Source organism: Homo sapiens, chromosome 1 (assembly GCF_000001405.40).
Source record: "Homo sapiens chromosome 1, GRCh38.p14 Primary Assembly".
Taxonomy (NCBI): domain Eukaryota; kingdom Metazoa; phylum Chordata; class Mammalia; order Primates; family Hominidae; genus Homo; species Homo sapiens.
Window position 1 is genome coordinate 220466253 of NC_000001.11, and position 16912 is coordinate 220483164.

A 16912-nucleotide genomic window follows, 5' to 3' on the forward strand; every position below is an offset into this window, starting at 1 on the left:
GGGGCGGCCGGGCAGAGGTGCCCCTCACCTCCTGGACGGGGCGGCTGGCCGGGCAGGGGGCTGACCCCCCCACCTCCCTCCCGGATGGGGCGGCTGGCCGGGCAGAGGGGCTCCTCACTTCCCAGTAGGGGCGGCCGGGCAGAGGCGCCCCTCACCTCCCGGACGGGGCGGCTGGCTGGGCGGGGTGCTGACCCCCCTACCTCCCTCCCGGACGGGGCGGCTGGCCAGGCAGAGGGGCTCCTCACTTCCCAGTAGGGGTGGCCGGGCAGAGGCGCCCCTCACCTCCCGGACGGGGAGGCTGGCCGGGCGGGGGGCTGACGCCCCCACCTCCCTCCCGGATGGGGCGGCTGGCCTGGCGGGGGGCTGACCCCCCCACCTCCCTCCTGGACGGGGTGGCTGGCCGGGCGGAGACGCTCCTCACTTCCCAGACGGGGTGGCTGCCAGGCAGAGAGGCTCCTCACTTCTCAGACAGGGCGGCTGCCGGGCGGAGGGGCTCCTCACTTCTCAGACGGGGTGGTTGCCAGGCAGAGGGTCTCCTCACTTCTCAGATGGGGCGGCCGGGCAGAGACGCTCTTTACCTCCCAGACGGGGTCGCGGCCGGGCAGAGGCGCTCCTCACATCCCAGACGGGGCGGTGGGGCAGAGGCGCTCCCCACATCTCAGATGATGGGCGGCCGGGCAGAGAGCTCCTCACTTCCTAGATGTGATGGCGGCCCGGAAGAGGCGCTCCTCACTTCCTAGATGGGATGGCGGCCGGGCAGAGACGCTCCTCACTTTCCAGACTGGGCAGCCAGGCAGAGGGGCTCCTCACATCCCAGATGATGGGCGGCCAGGCAGAGACGCTCCTCACTTCCCAGACGGGGTGGCGGCCGGGCAGAGGCTGCAATCTCGGCACTTTGGGAGGCCAAGGCAGGCGGCTGGGAGGTGGAGGTTGTAGCGAGCCGAGATCACGCCACTGCACTCCAGCCTGGGCACCATTGAGCACTGAGTGAACAAGACTCCGTCTGCAATCCCGGCACCTTGGGAGGCCGAGGCTGGCGGATCACTCGCGGTTAGGAGCTGGAGACCAGCCCGGCCAACTCAGTGAAACCCCGTCTCCACCAAAAAAATACGAAAGCCAGTCAGGCGTGGTGGCACGCGCCTGCAATCGCAGGCACTTGGCAGGCTGAGGCAGGAGAATCAGGCAGGGAGGTTGCAGTGAGCCGAGATGGCAGCAGTACAGTCCAGCTTTGGCTCGGCATCAGAGGGAGATCGTGGAAAGAGAGGGAGAGGGAGACCGTGGGGAGAGGGAGAGGGAGAGGGAGAGGGAGAGGGAGGGACTTTTTTTTTTTTTTTTTTTTGAGATGGAGTCTTGCTCTGTTGCCCAGGCTGGAGTGCAGTGGGGGTGGAGCCCTAGCCAGGGACCCACCTTTCTCTACCCACCACTTCCCTTCCCCACTTCCCTATCATTTAAAGGGACCACACTGTTCCCTTCTCAGCACTCCTATATCAAAACCTCCATATTCTCTTTATGAGACAGATATAACTGGGCTGCGTGTCAGGAGGTCCCTCATGTTAGGCCTGAGAACAGCTCAGAAGAGTGGGTAGCTCCTCTCTGTGTTCTGAGGGCTGGCTGGGGTGCTGGAGGTGGGCCAGGGCAGGTGTAAACTCTGCGCCTCATTGTTCCCTGGTGCCACCAGACATTGCTCAGGCCACCAGCACCATGAAGATCTGGACTTCGGAGCACGTCTTTGACCACCCATAGGAAACTGTTACAACAGCTGCAATGCAGAAATACTCAAACCCTATGAGCCCAAGTGTGGTTGGAGTTAATGTGTTGGACAGACATATAGATCTGTCTGGAAAGTTGCACAGCCATAGACTTCCCAGCACAGAGTAGGGACTGCTGTCCATTGTGAAGTCTCTTATTGGTGCAGCAAAAACCAAAACATGTGTGTGAGAACATTCTGTTGATCCTGTAGAGAAAGCAATGGAACTTAAATCTACTAATATTTCATTTGCAAATATGGTTTCAGTAGATGAGAGACATATAAAAACCACATCCTCAGGACCCAGAAGGAACCATTTTGACTCAACAAGCCGTAATCACCATGAAAGGAGTTAGCCTTAGTGGTTACCCTGAAGGACTGATGGTAAGTACAATATCCTCAAGTGCTAGTAAAGGTGAAGAAGCAGTGGAATGGGTAATACACAAATTAAATGCTGAGAGTGGGCTGGGCGCGGTGACTCAATGCCTGTAATCCCAGCACTTTGGGAGGCCAAGGCAGGCAGATCACCTGAGGTCAGGAGTTTGAGACCAGCCTGGCCAACATGGTGAAACCCCGTCTCTACTAAAAAATACAAAAATTAGCCGAGCATGGTGGTGGGTGCCTGTAATCCCAGCTACTCAGGAGGCTGAGGCAGGAGAATTGCTTGAATCCGAGAGGCGGAGCTTGCAGTGAGCTGAGATCCTGCCATCGCACTCCAGCCTGGGCGACAAGAGTGAAACTCCGTCTCAAAAAAAAAAAAAAAAAAAAAAGTAGAGATTGAAGAATTGACAGCCTCGGCAAGAGGAAGCAATGGCAGCAGCAGCATTTGCAGAAAGGGGATCCTGAAAGTTGACAGACAACATCGGGTACCCCAGGTCTCTCCCAGCTGACCATATATTTATTTGTCATTTTAAAATTACAACTATACTTTAGGTAGATTTTTTTTGTTAAGCTGATATAAGGCTATGTGACTTTTGATCAAAACAGAAAGGCTTCTAAATAAAAGGGATCATTTGAAATTAATGTTGTTTGAAATTACTGTCTGATTTTGAGGGTTCCAGTATTTATGTGAAAAATTAACAAGAAGTCCTTGGAAATTGGTATTGACATTAAATCTCTCTAAGGTAGAATTTTAAAGCTTTCCATACATTGGAACTCCACCTGCCTTTGGACCGACCCCAGAACAGAGCAGAGCCACTTCCTATTGCCCTGCTGCTGTATACGCTTCAATAGCTTGCATAAGGGAATTCACTGAAAAGGAGAAATTGCATGGTTTTAAACTATATTCTGTGTAAAATAACTTGCTCAGCTATAAACCACCATTAAAAACCAGTGTTTTGATTTGGTACTTAAATATTTTGAGAGTGAAAATTGTCACTAAAGTAACATATGACTCCAACAAAAGTATGGTTTTGCGTTTTGTTTAGTTTTGAAACAATGTCTCGCTCTGTCACCCAAGCTGGAATGCAGTGGAGCAATCTCAGCTCACTGCAACCTCCCCATCCTGGGTTCAAACGATTCTTGTGCCTCAGCCTCCCGAGTAGCTGGGACTACAGGCATGCACCACCACTCCTGGCTACTTCTTGTATTTTCAGTAGACATGAAGTTTTGCCATGTTGGCCAGGCTGCTCTCGAACTCCTGGCCTCAGGTGATCTGTCCACGTTGGCCTCCCAAAGTGCTAGGATTACAGGCATGAGCCACTGTGCCAAGCCAGAAGTATGGTTTCATTATATTAGAATACAGTAGGCCAGGCATGGTGGCTCACGCCTGTAATCCCAGCACTTTGGAAGGCTGAGACGGGCGGATCATGAGGTCAGGAGATCGAGACCATCCTGGCTAACACGGTGAAACCCCCTCTCCACTAAAAATACAAAAAATTAGCCGGGTGTGGTGGTGGGCGCCTGTAGTCCCAGCTACTCAGGAGGCTGAGGCAGGAGAATGGCGTGAACCTGGGAGGCAGAGCTTGCAGTGAACCGAGATCGCACCACTGCCCTCCAGCCTGGGTGACAGAGCGAGACTCCATCTCAAAAAAAAAAAAAAAAAAATACTGTATTGATTTGCCAAAGTTTGTAACTTAGTAAAGGTATTATCTTCCTTGGATTTGTACTTTGTGATTTAGTATGCCGTACCATGGGCTGGTTATGTTAACTGAAAAAATACAGTCATTACCTGAGTTTTGCAGCACTCTAACTTAAACAGAACAGCTGTTCACATCTTTTAGCACTTCACATTTGCCTAACTTAAAAATTGCCATGTGTCAAAATCATGGTTTGTAATTGCTAAGGCATGATATGTCAGGTCATGTGAATATAATTACTTTTTGAAGTAGGTGTGACCACAAAACATGTTTTTTACATGAAGGAACTGTAAATCATTTGAAATTACTCAAATGATGTTTTGTTCTGAAGCATAAATCCCAGGTACTTAATGTTTTTACTAATATGGTGCCACTGCAGAGTTTGGGGGCAGTGGGGAAGAACAAGAATAATGATGGGGAGAGGATTGGTCTGAAACTAACCACTAAGTGAACTGCACTGCAGCTTTTATTTGTGGGAACCCCTTGTTTGGGATCTCAGAGGGCAGCTGCAAACTGAAAAACAATCCAGTAAATATGCTTTGTTTAATATTTCATAGCAGGCAATAATCAACCACTTAATAATAGCTTTGACATTTGCAACTGTTGTATACAAAGTATTTTTGCTAGAAGATGACTAGCTCTCACTTTTATTTTACAGTGCTTAATGTGATAAACTTCTAGTCATGTTTCCTATCAAAGAGATCAGTTAATATATGTACATCAACCACAGAAACAGTATAACAAAATATTTTAAAATTATCATTTTTCTACTTCAAATATGTTTAGCTTAAGACTTCTTAGCACATTTATAAAAGCAGGTTAAATTTAATAAGATTTCTGATTTTTTTTGTAACTGAAGATAGTTTTTACTAGTGAAATAACATTTCAGCTAAATAAAACTTTGCTAAATATTGATATTTGATAAAAAGTTATCTTGTATAATTTCTGCAAATTATCCTTGTTCTGAAAAGGTGTAATGCCCTAATAATAAAAGATTGTTAAACAAATCCTTATCTTTTGATTTTTTAAACTCTGATCTAATGATACAATTTTATAAATTTTCATTTTCCATTTTCCAGTGCAGTTAGTTACTTTTTTTTTTTTTTTTTTTTTTTTTTGGAGAAAGAGTCTCGCTCTGTCGCCCAGGCTGGAGTGCAATGGTGCCATCTCAGCTCACTGCAAGCTCTGCCTCCCGGGTTCACGCCATTCTTCTGCCTCAGCCTCCCAAGTAGCTGGGACTACAGGTGCCCACCACCATGCCCTGCTAATTTTTTTTCTATTTTTAGTAGAGATGGGGTTTCACCGTGTTAGCCAGGATGGTCTTGATCTCCTGACCTCCTGATCCGCCTGCCTTGGCCTCCCAAAGTTAGTTACCTTTTTAAAAAAATAGCTGGTAATTCATAGCTTTTACCTGTTAAATATAAATGCACAGCAAGCAAATGAATTTAAGAGGACTAAACTGGAATAAAGTGTTAATAAATGAAAATCTTGGACTATTTAATATTAAAATTGAAATGTGAATTAAGATAAACTTGTGTTAGTAAAAACTTTCTTCTTTTAAAAAACCAAGCATAACTAAAGATCAAATCCATTTATAAATGTCAATGCAATAATCCTGAATAAAATATTGGAGAATATAATCCATAAAAATATGAAATTAATATTATGGACAAGTAAGATTTAGTTCAGGAGGGCAAAAATGGTTTAGGAAATCTTTTTTTTTTTTTTTTTGATGGGGGGAATGGTCTTTTTTGCCCAGGCTGGAGTGCAATGGCACAGTCTCAGCTCACTGCAACCTCCACCTCTGGGTTAAAGTGATTCTCCTGTCTCAGCCTCCCGAGTAGCTGGGATTATAGGCATGTGCCACCACACTTGGCTAATTTTGTTATTTTTAGTAGAGATAGGGTTTCACCATGTTGGCCAGGCTGGTCTCAAAATCCTGACCTCAGGTGATCTTCCCGCCTCAATCTCCCAAGGTGCTGGGATTACAGGGTGAGCCACCATGCCTGGACCTAGGAAATCTGTTAATATAATTCATCGAATTAATAGTTTTTAGAAGATAAACTATTGATCCTCTCTATAAATGCTGAAAAGGATTTGGCAAAAGTCAACAACCATTATTGACTTAAAACAAAACAAAACTCAGTATGATAGGAAAAGACAGATCCTTAAAATGATAAGATAAAGCTTTTTTGTTTTTTTGCCCCAAAACTGAGATTATTACCTTTGATGTCAGAAACATGACAGGGATACCCACTATCGTCATTTCATACTGTGCAGGAGGTAGTAGTCGGTGCAATTAGCAAAAAGAAAAAAAATGGAAGTATGAAATTGGAAAGGAAGAGGTAATGCTATTACTATTTTTTTATTGATACAAAATATTTTACATATTTACGGGATACACACGAGTACTTGTTACGTGCACAGAATGTGTAGTGATTAGGTCAGGGTGTTTGGGGTATCTATCACCCTGAGGATCATTTCTATATGTTGGTAACATTTAAAGTCCTCTTTTTTAGCTACTTTGAAAAATACTATGCAATGTTGCTAACTATAGTCACCCTACTCTGCTATTGAATATCAGGGCTTATTTGTTCTAACTGTATGCTTATACCCACTAATCAACCTCTCTTTATTCTTCCTCCCACCCAAACACTCTTACCAGCCTCTAGTATCTGTCATTCTATTCTCTATCTCCATGAGGCCAATTATTTTTTAGTTCTCATATATGAATGAGGACATGTGGCATCTGTCTTTCTGTTCCTGATTTATTTCACTTAACATAACCTCCAGTTCCATCCATGTTGCTGCAAATGACATAATTTCATTATTTTTTATGACTGAATTGTATCCATTGTGTATATATACCATATTTTCTGAATCCATTTATATATCGATGGAGCTATTACTATTTTCAGATAACATGAAGACCTAGGTGAATCAACTGCAAAACTATTACAAACAATAAAATAATTCAACAAGAAGGAAGGGCACAAAATTAACATAAAGAAACCAATACATATCAGATACAGAAATCACAATCACCTAGAAGCTATAATGGAAGAAAATCCCCCAATATTACAATATTTTAAAAAAGTAATTAACAATAAATGATAATATTTATATGATGGAAAGCTTAAAACATTTTAATTTGAGTCCCAGAAGGGCAGGAAAGTGAGAATGAGGAATAAACAACATTTGAAGAGATAATGGCTGAGAATACAGTCACGTACCACATAAAAATGTTTCAGTAAACAACAGACCGCAAATACAAAGGTGGTCCAAAAAGATTATAATACCATATTCTTACTGTACTTTTCTATATTTAGATACACAAATACTTACCATTTCGTTACAGTTGCCTACAGTATTCAGTGCAGTAAGATGCCGCACAGGTTTGTAGCCAGCAACAATAGACTCTACCACATAGCCTAGGTGTGTAGTAGGTTATACTATCTAGTTTTGTGTAAGTATGCTCTATGCTGTTCACACAATGACAATGTTTTCTAAGGTCATGTTTCTCAGAATGTATCCCCATCATTCATTGTTACAAGAATGTATTCCAAAACTGATGAAAGGCATCAATCCACAGATTTGAGAAGCACTATGAATCCAAAGCAGAATAAATAGTTACACCTGAGACACGGTGTAAACCAATCAATGTGAAATCTGGGTTTATTGGGAATGGTGAGTCCCTATGTAACCTTGTGGCATTGGAGGAAGAGAAGTTGGTACCTTTTGATTATCCTTGTAACTCCCCTCTCAGACTTCTCTGGTCCCAGGTGATAGATTTCTGGTCTGGTCGGGTCTGTGAGTCTCTTTACACTACTGTCCACTGAGGTGTGGCTAGCAAACTTCTGGTTTGTTCTTTCAGCTGGGTTAAAACCCTGTGGTTCTCATTGTGATCTCAGCCTACCTTGGGTCTCACTGATCCTGTAAGTTCTAATTCTCCATCATGGTCCTCACTAAAAAACCTATCCTGTGGCTTCTGTGGTACAGTCATTATCCTCTGGCTACAGAAGCCTTTGTAAATCTTCTTGCTCTCACTTCAGTTGTCTTTAATCTAGTGGTTAAAGGTATAGACTTCATAACTAGATTGACTTTGTGTTAAAATCCTCATTTCATATTACAGCAGTGTGGTCTTGGACAAGATAGTTAACCTCTCTGTACCTCAGTCTCCACAATTTAAAAAGTGCAAAAAGGACCTATGTCATAGGGCTGTTGAAAAGATGCAGTAAGACCATTTTTGTAAAGTACTTAGACTTCTTCCTGGCACATAGCACTCAATAAATGTTAATTATTATTGTTTATTGAGGTTCATGAAGGCCCAATAAATAGCACTCCATTTCCTCACCTGAGTACTCGTGTAATTAAGAAATATATAGAGAGTAAAGTAGATGGAGATCAAAATTCACCTTTTTTTTACACTGATAATGCATTATTGTAGAATGTGATTTATATCTCTGGGCAAGTGTCTTCTTTACACCAAACCCCAGAAGTAGGTGGACTTACCCAATCACAGGTGACAATGAACTGGGGCAAATCTGTCCCTGTGAAATTTACAGTAAGGCAACCTGAGCAGATGCTTCTGTGATCAGATTTCTTCTTTCTCTCATCTGTTCCAGCGATAATTGCCTATACAGCTAATAATTTGGCAATTGATCATGTCCAGCCTAATACCACCACATTAGAGGTGATCAGATGCTGTCAGAGGTCTGCTTATATCCCATTAGCACATTTGGCCATTTCCAGGCACAGTGATCACACTGATGTTGTGTCCGGAATTGGTGGGTTCTTGGTCTCACTGACTTCCAGAATGAAGCCGAGAACCCTCGTGGTGAGTGGTACAGCTCACAGCACGCCTAAGGTGGCACGTCTGTAGTTTGTCCCTTCTGATGTTCAGATGTGTTCGGAGTTTCTTTGTTTTGGTTGATTCGTGGTCTCACTGGCTCAGGAATGAAGCTGCAAACCTTCCCAGTGTGTGTTACAGCTCGTAAGGCGGCGTGTCTGTAGTTGTTCATTCCTCCCAATAGGCTCGTGGGATCGCTGGTTCAGGAGTGAAGCTACAGACCTTCGCGGTGTTACACCTCATGCAAGCAGCGTGGCCCCAAAAAATGAACAATAGCAACATTTATTGCAAAGAGCAAAAACACAAAGCTTCCACACAGTAGAAAGGAAACCAGAGGGTTGCCTCTGCTCGCTGGGGCAGCCTGCTTTTATTCTCTTATCTGGCCCCACCCACATCCTGCTGATTGGTAGAGCCCAGTGGCCTGTTTTGACAGGGCGCTGATTGGTGCGTTTACAATCCCTGAGCTAGACATAAAGGTTCTCCAAGACCTCACCAGAGTAGCTAGATACAGAGTGTCGATTGGTGCATTCAGAAACCCTGAGCTAGACACAGGGTGCTGATTGGTGTGTTTACAAACCTTGAGCTAGATACAGAGTGCCGATTGGTGTATTTACAATCCCTGAGCTATACATAAAGACTCTCCACATCCCCACCAGACTCAGGAGCCCAGCTGGCTTCACCCAGTGGATCCAGCACGGGGGCTGCAGGTGGAGCTGCCTGCCAGTCCCGGTGCTGTGCGCTCGCACTCCTCAGCCGTTGGGGGGTCGATGGGACTGGGCGCCGTGGAGCAGGGGGCGGCACTCGTCGGGGAGGCTCGGGCGGCACAGGAGCCCACGGAGAGGGTGGGAGGCTCAGGCATGGCGGGCTGCAGGTCCCGAGCCCTGCCCCGTGGGAAGGCAGCTAAGGCCTGGCGAGAAATCGAGCACAGCGGCGGTGGGCCGGCACTGCTGGGGGACCCAGTACACCCCCCGCAGCCGCTGGCCCGGGTGCTAAGCCCCTCACTGCCCGGGGCCGGCAGGGCCGGCCGGCTGCTCCGAGTGCGGGGCCGGCCGGCTGCTCCGAGTGCAGGGCCCGCCAAGCCCACGCCCACCCAGAACTCCAGCTGGCCCGCAAGCTCCGCACGCAGCCCCGGTTCCTGCTCGCGCCTCTCCCTCCACACCTCCCCGCAAGCTGAGGGAGTGAGCTCCGGCCTTGGCCAGCCCAGAAAGGGGCTCCCACAATGCAGCGGTGGGCTGAAGGGCTCTTCAAGTGCCGCCAAAGTGGGAGCTCAGGCAGAGGAGGCGCCAAGAGCAAGTGAGGGCTGTGAGGACTGCCAGCACGCTGTCACCTCTCAGTGTGAGCTTCCACTCCTTAGAGCAAGCACCCACATCTCTCTGTTGTAAGGCTACTTTTAAGCAGTGATGACCCACTTTTCCTGCTAGTGCAGACAGCAGGAAGTGCCTGGAAATTTATTTAATATAAGTGGCCATCACTCTCCCGACCCAGGGTGCCTCATCTTAAGGGCTGATGGACAGGAGGAATAATTACCCCAGCTCCCTGGCCCCGGACCAGAACATGGTCTCCAAAGACTGAAAGACTGAGCGGAAGTTACCCTTTATGGGATTTCCCTTCCTGGTCCTACTTTCCTACTCCCCAAATCACTTTCACACAAATCCTCATCTGGGGATCCCAGCTTAAGTCGGGAAACAAATCTATTATTGTCTAGTGGCATTTATATATATTTTTTACTTTCAATTGTTTTCCTGTGTTGACTCGTTGTAAAGGTTTCTTTGGGGGATATGAGCAGACCTCCAACAGAGTGTAGTACTTGTGTTTCTTCATACTCTCCATCGTATAGTTGTACAAACAGTAGGAACTAGGCTTTTTAAAAAAAAAATGATTTCTCAATTCATTTTCTTTTTAAATTGACATCAGAGAAACTCAAACTATGTGAATAAACAAGGCGTTTGGGGAATATGCATACATATCATGCAAAGGGTGCTATACACAGCCATAGAATTTTAAGGTTATTTTCTGAATACAAAAATATGTTACATAAATTTATAAAGATCGCAGAGAATATTTAGGTTGATATGAATATTGTATAAAATTATTATTTGGGATTGAATAGCTTTATACATGCTCTTAGAGACATTTTAATGTTGAAGTTGCTTTTAAGAATTATTAACTAGTGAATAATTAAAATGTTGTCAGAATGGATTCAAGGCCAATTAGTTTGGTTGCAGATAAAAAGTCCTAAGAAATCCATGACTGCCATCAGTGGCAATTAATATAGTTTTATTTGCATGCTAAAACAATCCAGGGTAGGTCCCAAAATGTACATTTTCTGCAATACAGTAATTTAGCTTTCATGCCCAGACTGGAAGTGTGATACTTAGAATAAATGAATCCAATAATGGAGGTGCAGGAAAATAATAGCATAGTGATAATATTTGACATTTGTATATGCTTTATTACTTTTCAGATGAATTTTGCAGCTCTTTTACCCTGATAGCTAGACCAAAAACCTATTTATAAGTTTGTACAGGCTACAGTTTTCTTCGCTTTGAATACCGACTAATGAATTTCAAACCACCAATCTGACCCTTTTATATCAAATTAACTGGTTATTTGGTCAAACCAATTCACTTGACCTGCTATCCTGGTGACAAGTAGATATTTCCTGAATCAGTGTCCATCAGTCTGTGCCTTGCTTCAGCCATGCCCAGCCCCTGTGTCTCTGACAGCCAGGTCCAGAAGATGTATGTGTGCTGGTACAAGTCTCATCCTACTTGTTCTATGAAGCACTGAGGGCAGGGCCTGAAACTGTGTTGGGGAATTCTCTAGAACCTGTGATTAGGTTTCCATCTTTCTCAATGCCTACTCTTTGTGTCCTTTTGCTTCTAGATCTGCTATACTCCTACTTCTCTGGATGATAATCCCAGCTTGAGTCCTTCCATGCTCCTCTCAGTTCCATTCACCAGTGATAGTGATGAACTCCATTCATGCCTTATAGCGGGAGCACACCATTCTGCATAATATTCAGCTATTTTCTAGGGTTAAATTTACCCCCTGAAAATATATTTGATTGAATACATATAGAGAATTTTCCTACTGATAATATTATTATTAGTGGTAATAATCATAATTTTCATTATTACTCTCAGGCTCAGTCCTTGTACTTAAAAAAAAAAAAAGATAGCCAAATAGTATACAGTGGGACATTTAATAAAACCTGGAGTTGTCTTTTGATTATTAAATTAATCCAAAGCTCGCAAGGGATTTTTAAGTTTCTTTAGCCACCAAGCAAGTTGTGAGTAAATATATAGCAAAAAAAATGGAAATGAATCTAGAAAGTTTTATATTATTTTGGCCAGGTGTGGTGGCTCACACCTGTAATCCCAGCACTTTGGGAGGCTGAGGCAGGTGGACCACGAGGTCAGGAGTTTGAGACCAGCCCGGCCAACATGGCGAAACCCCATCTCTACTAAAAATACAAAAAATTAGCCAGGTGTGGTGGCGGGCACCTGTAGTCCCAGCTACTCAGGAGGCTGAGGCGGGAGAATTGCTTGAACCCAGGAGGCAGAGGTTGCAGTGAGCCAAGATCACACCATTGCACTCCAGCCTGGGTGACAGGGCGAGAGACTCGGTCTCAAAAAAAAAAAAAAAAGAAAGAAAGAAAGAAAAAAGAAAGTTTTATATATATTTTAAAACCAGGCTTTCTCTTAGGAAATTGAAGATGCTAGTTGAGGATACTTTATAGACATCGCAGGCCTCCAAATATTTTGAACTGAAATACATTGATGCCCAAGGAAACATATTCATTTTGCTGAAATTAATAGGTTGTTTTAATTTTTAATTTATACGATAGCATGTACATAACCTTTTATTGTCTACTCAATTTTACTGCTGGACATTTACTCAATTAATGAATCTTTCAATAAGATACTGACTATCATAAACTCTTGGAAAGACTGTGGTGAGCTGAGGGAATAAAAATTTGTTTTCCTTTTTTCTGTGGAAGTAGTGGGGCTGCCAACTCTTCTTCCTGGCATATTTTAATCTTTTTTTTAATTTTTAATTTTAATGGGTACATAGTAGGTATCTATATTTATGGGGTGCCTGGGATATTTTGATACAGACCTACAATGTGTAATAATCACACCAAGAAATTTTCTCCTTTTTTTTTGGCAGGGGCGCTTCAAGGTCATTATTTGGAACTCAGGCTGTGACATTGAAAAAAGATAAATGGGGTTTCCATCACCTCAAGAATTCATCATTTCTTTGTGTTGCAAACATTCCAATTGTACTCCCTTGGTTATTCTAAAATGTCCAACAAATTATTGCTGGCTGTGGTCACTCTGTTGTGCTATCAAATACTAGATCTTACTCATTGTATCGAATTCTATTTTTGTACCCGTTAACTACCCCCATTTCCCATTTCCCCTCTCCACTACCCTTCCCAGCCTCTGGTAGCCATCATTCTACTATCTCCATGAGTTCCAGTGTTTTAATTTTCAGCTCCCACAAATGAGTGAGAACATGCAAAGTTTGTCTTTCTGTGCCTGATCTTTTTTTGGAGCTACAAGAAAGCATGTTGGCCAACTAGGTGTCTACACAGATTTCCATCTGGAAAGGGAAGCTCTTTCTCAGAGGCAAGTGAAGGTTTTGTTTCAGGCCAAAAGCTCAAGGTGAAGGTGCTCAGGAAATTTTTCTTCTTCTTCTTCTTTTTTTTTTTTTTTTTTTTTGGCAGGGGCACATCAAGGTCATTATTTGGGACTCAGGCTGTGACATTTAAAAAATATATATATTCCTTCAACAGCAATCTATTTCCTTCTTTGCCCAGAGGACACCTGTGCTGTTGCCCAAGTACATGTGAAAAGAACCAGTCAGCCTCACAATTTATACCTTGCCCCATTTGTAACAACTAGGAAGTCTCATCGGATTCATCTTTTGGTTTGTGTTCCATTTTAACAAATCACTCAGAAGGCTGCCAGAGATAATAACCTCTCATGAGGAAACAAATATTTCATCTCAGTGCTTTCTTCTCAAGCTGCAACTGGATCGTTGCAATTTGGTGTAATGTCGTTTCTTAACCTAGCCTCTGAAATTTACCCCATATATGAACAGAAAAGGATTCTTAACAGTTATTTTCATGTTGGCACAGAGTTCTGCTCAGTAGCACTTAGTTCTTTTGCTCCTTTTGAAGCATCATGACTGCCTGGTCTGCGCCTTGATGGATGTCAGCACTCTCAGGTCAGGTCTAGATGGGGCAATCAAACCACCCAAAGGAAATTCAGTATTCAGTCATCTGTGTGGATGACTCTGTACACAGTAACCTGAAGGGCTACGTGATAGTTTATTCCGATTTTTTTTGTTGAGATAGACAAAAAAGCTCTGTTAGTTATCTCATGATCTTTCAGACATGCCAGGAAGTTGTTTCTGCATGTCTTCAGCCACCATTGAAGAAAAGGAAATTTCAAATGCTATTAGAGCAAACGAGCTATGTCGGAACGTTTCCCCATTACTCCACTTGGATGCACAATCCTAAATAATAATAACTTCTTTCATATGGAATACTTACTCTGGTGCCAGACATGAATTAACCCAGTGCTTTCACATAAACTCAGTGAACCCTTACAATGCCCTATGAGGTAAATACTATTTTTTTTTTGAGACGGGTTCTCACTCTGTTGCCCAGGCTGGAGTGCAGTGGTGTGATCTCAGCTCACTGCAACCTCCGCCTCCCAGGTTCAAGTGATTCTCCTGCCTTAACCTCCTGAGTAGATGAGACTACAGGTGCATGCCACCATGCCCAGCTAATTTTTGTATTTTTGTTACAGATGGGGTTTCACTGTATTGGCCAGGCTGGTCTCGAACTCCTGACCTCATGATCTGCCTGCCTGGGCCTCCCAAAGTGCTGGGATTACAGGCGTGAGCTACTGCGCCTGGCCGGTAGGTACCATTTTTATCCCTACTTTTTAGATGAGGAAACCGAGACATATAGAAGTTAAGTAGTTTATCCAAAATGACACAACTGCTAAGTGACAGAGTCAGAATTTGAACCACTAGTGGTACCACTTGCTGGTAAACACTCATTACAACAGCCAAAAGTAAAGTGATCATCAAAACAATCGCCTAACATTTTTTGGATCTTTACATGCTCTGGTAAAGTAAAGTTACATGGTCCAGCAGAGGTGTGAGAAAAATTTAATGAATGTTACAAGACATGCTCTTAACTTTGTCTGCCTCAAGCAATAGGAGTGAGGATAAGTGACGCCTGGTGAAGATCCTGCAGAAGTCAGACTTTTCCTCTTAAAGCTATGGCTTCTCCTCTAGAATGAAAAGTTGCGATAACAGGAGTCCTAGAATGTGGGCCACAACTTCACATTCTGGATGCTGAGTCATTTGTCATTTCTATGCTGAGCAGTAGAGAAATACTAGGTGGCCCACTTTCTAGGACTCCTATTATCAGAACTATTCATTCTAGAGGAGAAGCCAGAGCTTTTAAGAGCGGAAGTCTGACTTCTGTAGGATCATCACATAGGTGTTACTTAATGCTCACTCCTATTGCTTGAAGCAGAGAAAGTTAAAAGCATGTGTTGTATAGGCACAGGCAAAGATTTCATGATGAAAACATCAAAAGTAATTGCAACAAAGCAAAAATTGACAAATGGAATCTAATTAAACTGAAGAGCTTCTGCATAGCAAAAGAAACTTATCAGAGCGAACAGACAACCTACAGAATGAGATAAAATGTTTGCAATCTATCCATCTGACAAAGGTCTAATATCCAGAATCTACAAGAAACTTAAACAAATTTACAAGAAAAAAACAAACAACCCTATTAAAAATTGGGCAAAGGACATGAGCAGACACTTATCAAAAGAAGACATATATATGGCCAACAAACATATGAAAAACTCAACATCACTGGTCATTAGAGAAATGCAAATCAAAACCACAATGAGATACCATCTCATGCCAGTCAGAATGGCAATTATTAAAAAGTCAAGAAACAACAGATGCTGGCGAGACTGCAGAAAAATAGGAATGCTTTTACACTGTTGGTGGAAATATAAATTAGTTCAGTCATTCTGAAAGAGTGTGGCCATTCCTCAAAGACCTAGAGCCAGAAATACCATTTGACACAGCAATTCCATTACTGGGTATAGACCCAAAGGAATAGAAATCATTCTATTATAAGGATGCATGCATGCATATGTTCATTGCAGCACTATTCACAGTAGCAAAGACATGGAATTAACCCAAATGCCCATCAATGTTAGACTAGATAAAGAAAATGTGGTACATATATACCATGGAGTACTATGTAGCCATAAAAAGGAATGAGATCATGTCCTTTGCAGGGACATGGTTGGAGCTGGAAACCATTATCCTCACCAAACTAATGCAGGAACAGAAAGCCAAACACCACATGTTCTCACTATAACAATGTGAACACATAGACACATGGAGGAGAACAAGACCCTGGGGTCTGTTGGGGGTCAGGGAGAGGGAGAGCATCGGGATAAATAGCTAATGCATACTGGGCTTAATACTTGGGTGATGGGTTGATAGGTGCAGCAAACCACCACGGCACATGTTTACCTATATAACAAACTGCCCATCCTGCACATGTACCCAGAAACTTAAATGAAATTTCTTTAAAAAGAGCATGTCTTGTAGCATTCATCAAATTTTTCTCACACCTCTGCTGGTAAATCTGTCATTTAATTTTCCACTCAGGACTGCACTTTGCCATTATAGAAATGATCTCTGAGTGACTTTGAGCAATTCATCCCCTGGAGAACTTTTGTCTTTATTTATGAAATATGTGTAGAAACACAAACCTTTGAATGTTATGGCAAGAAATCATCAACTGACAGACACTTCATCCTTTTAAGTGTTTTGGTTTACAAAGCTGACTGATGATACAGAATTTCAACAATTGTCAGCCATCTACTATAGGAATGGAAATCCATTTCTTCACTATTATGGTTTCTTATTTTAATGGCCAAATTTCCTGGATTTGATCATTGTAACCAATTCAGCTTCATTTAGGAATATCGCATTCTTCATGCAGCACTTTTTATAGTGTCTATTTGTGTTTTCAATAGCAATACACATTTTGGAGTTTTAAGCAAAAAGAACCCTGAAATATCTTCCTTCGTTTCTGCTCCCTAGAGGATAACCTTTATGAGGCCAAGAATTTTGTTTAATTTCTTCATTGGTTTATCACAAATATTTGGCACATAG

General features: G+C 43.1%; 1 pseudogene; it reads left to right on the forward strand.

The window, feature by feature from the left end:
• PRELID3BP1 (PRELI domain containing 3B pseudogene 1) lies at window positions 1647-2210 on the forward strand (annotated as a pseudogene).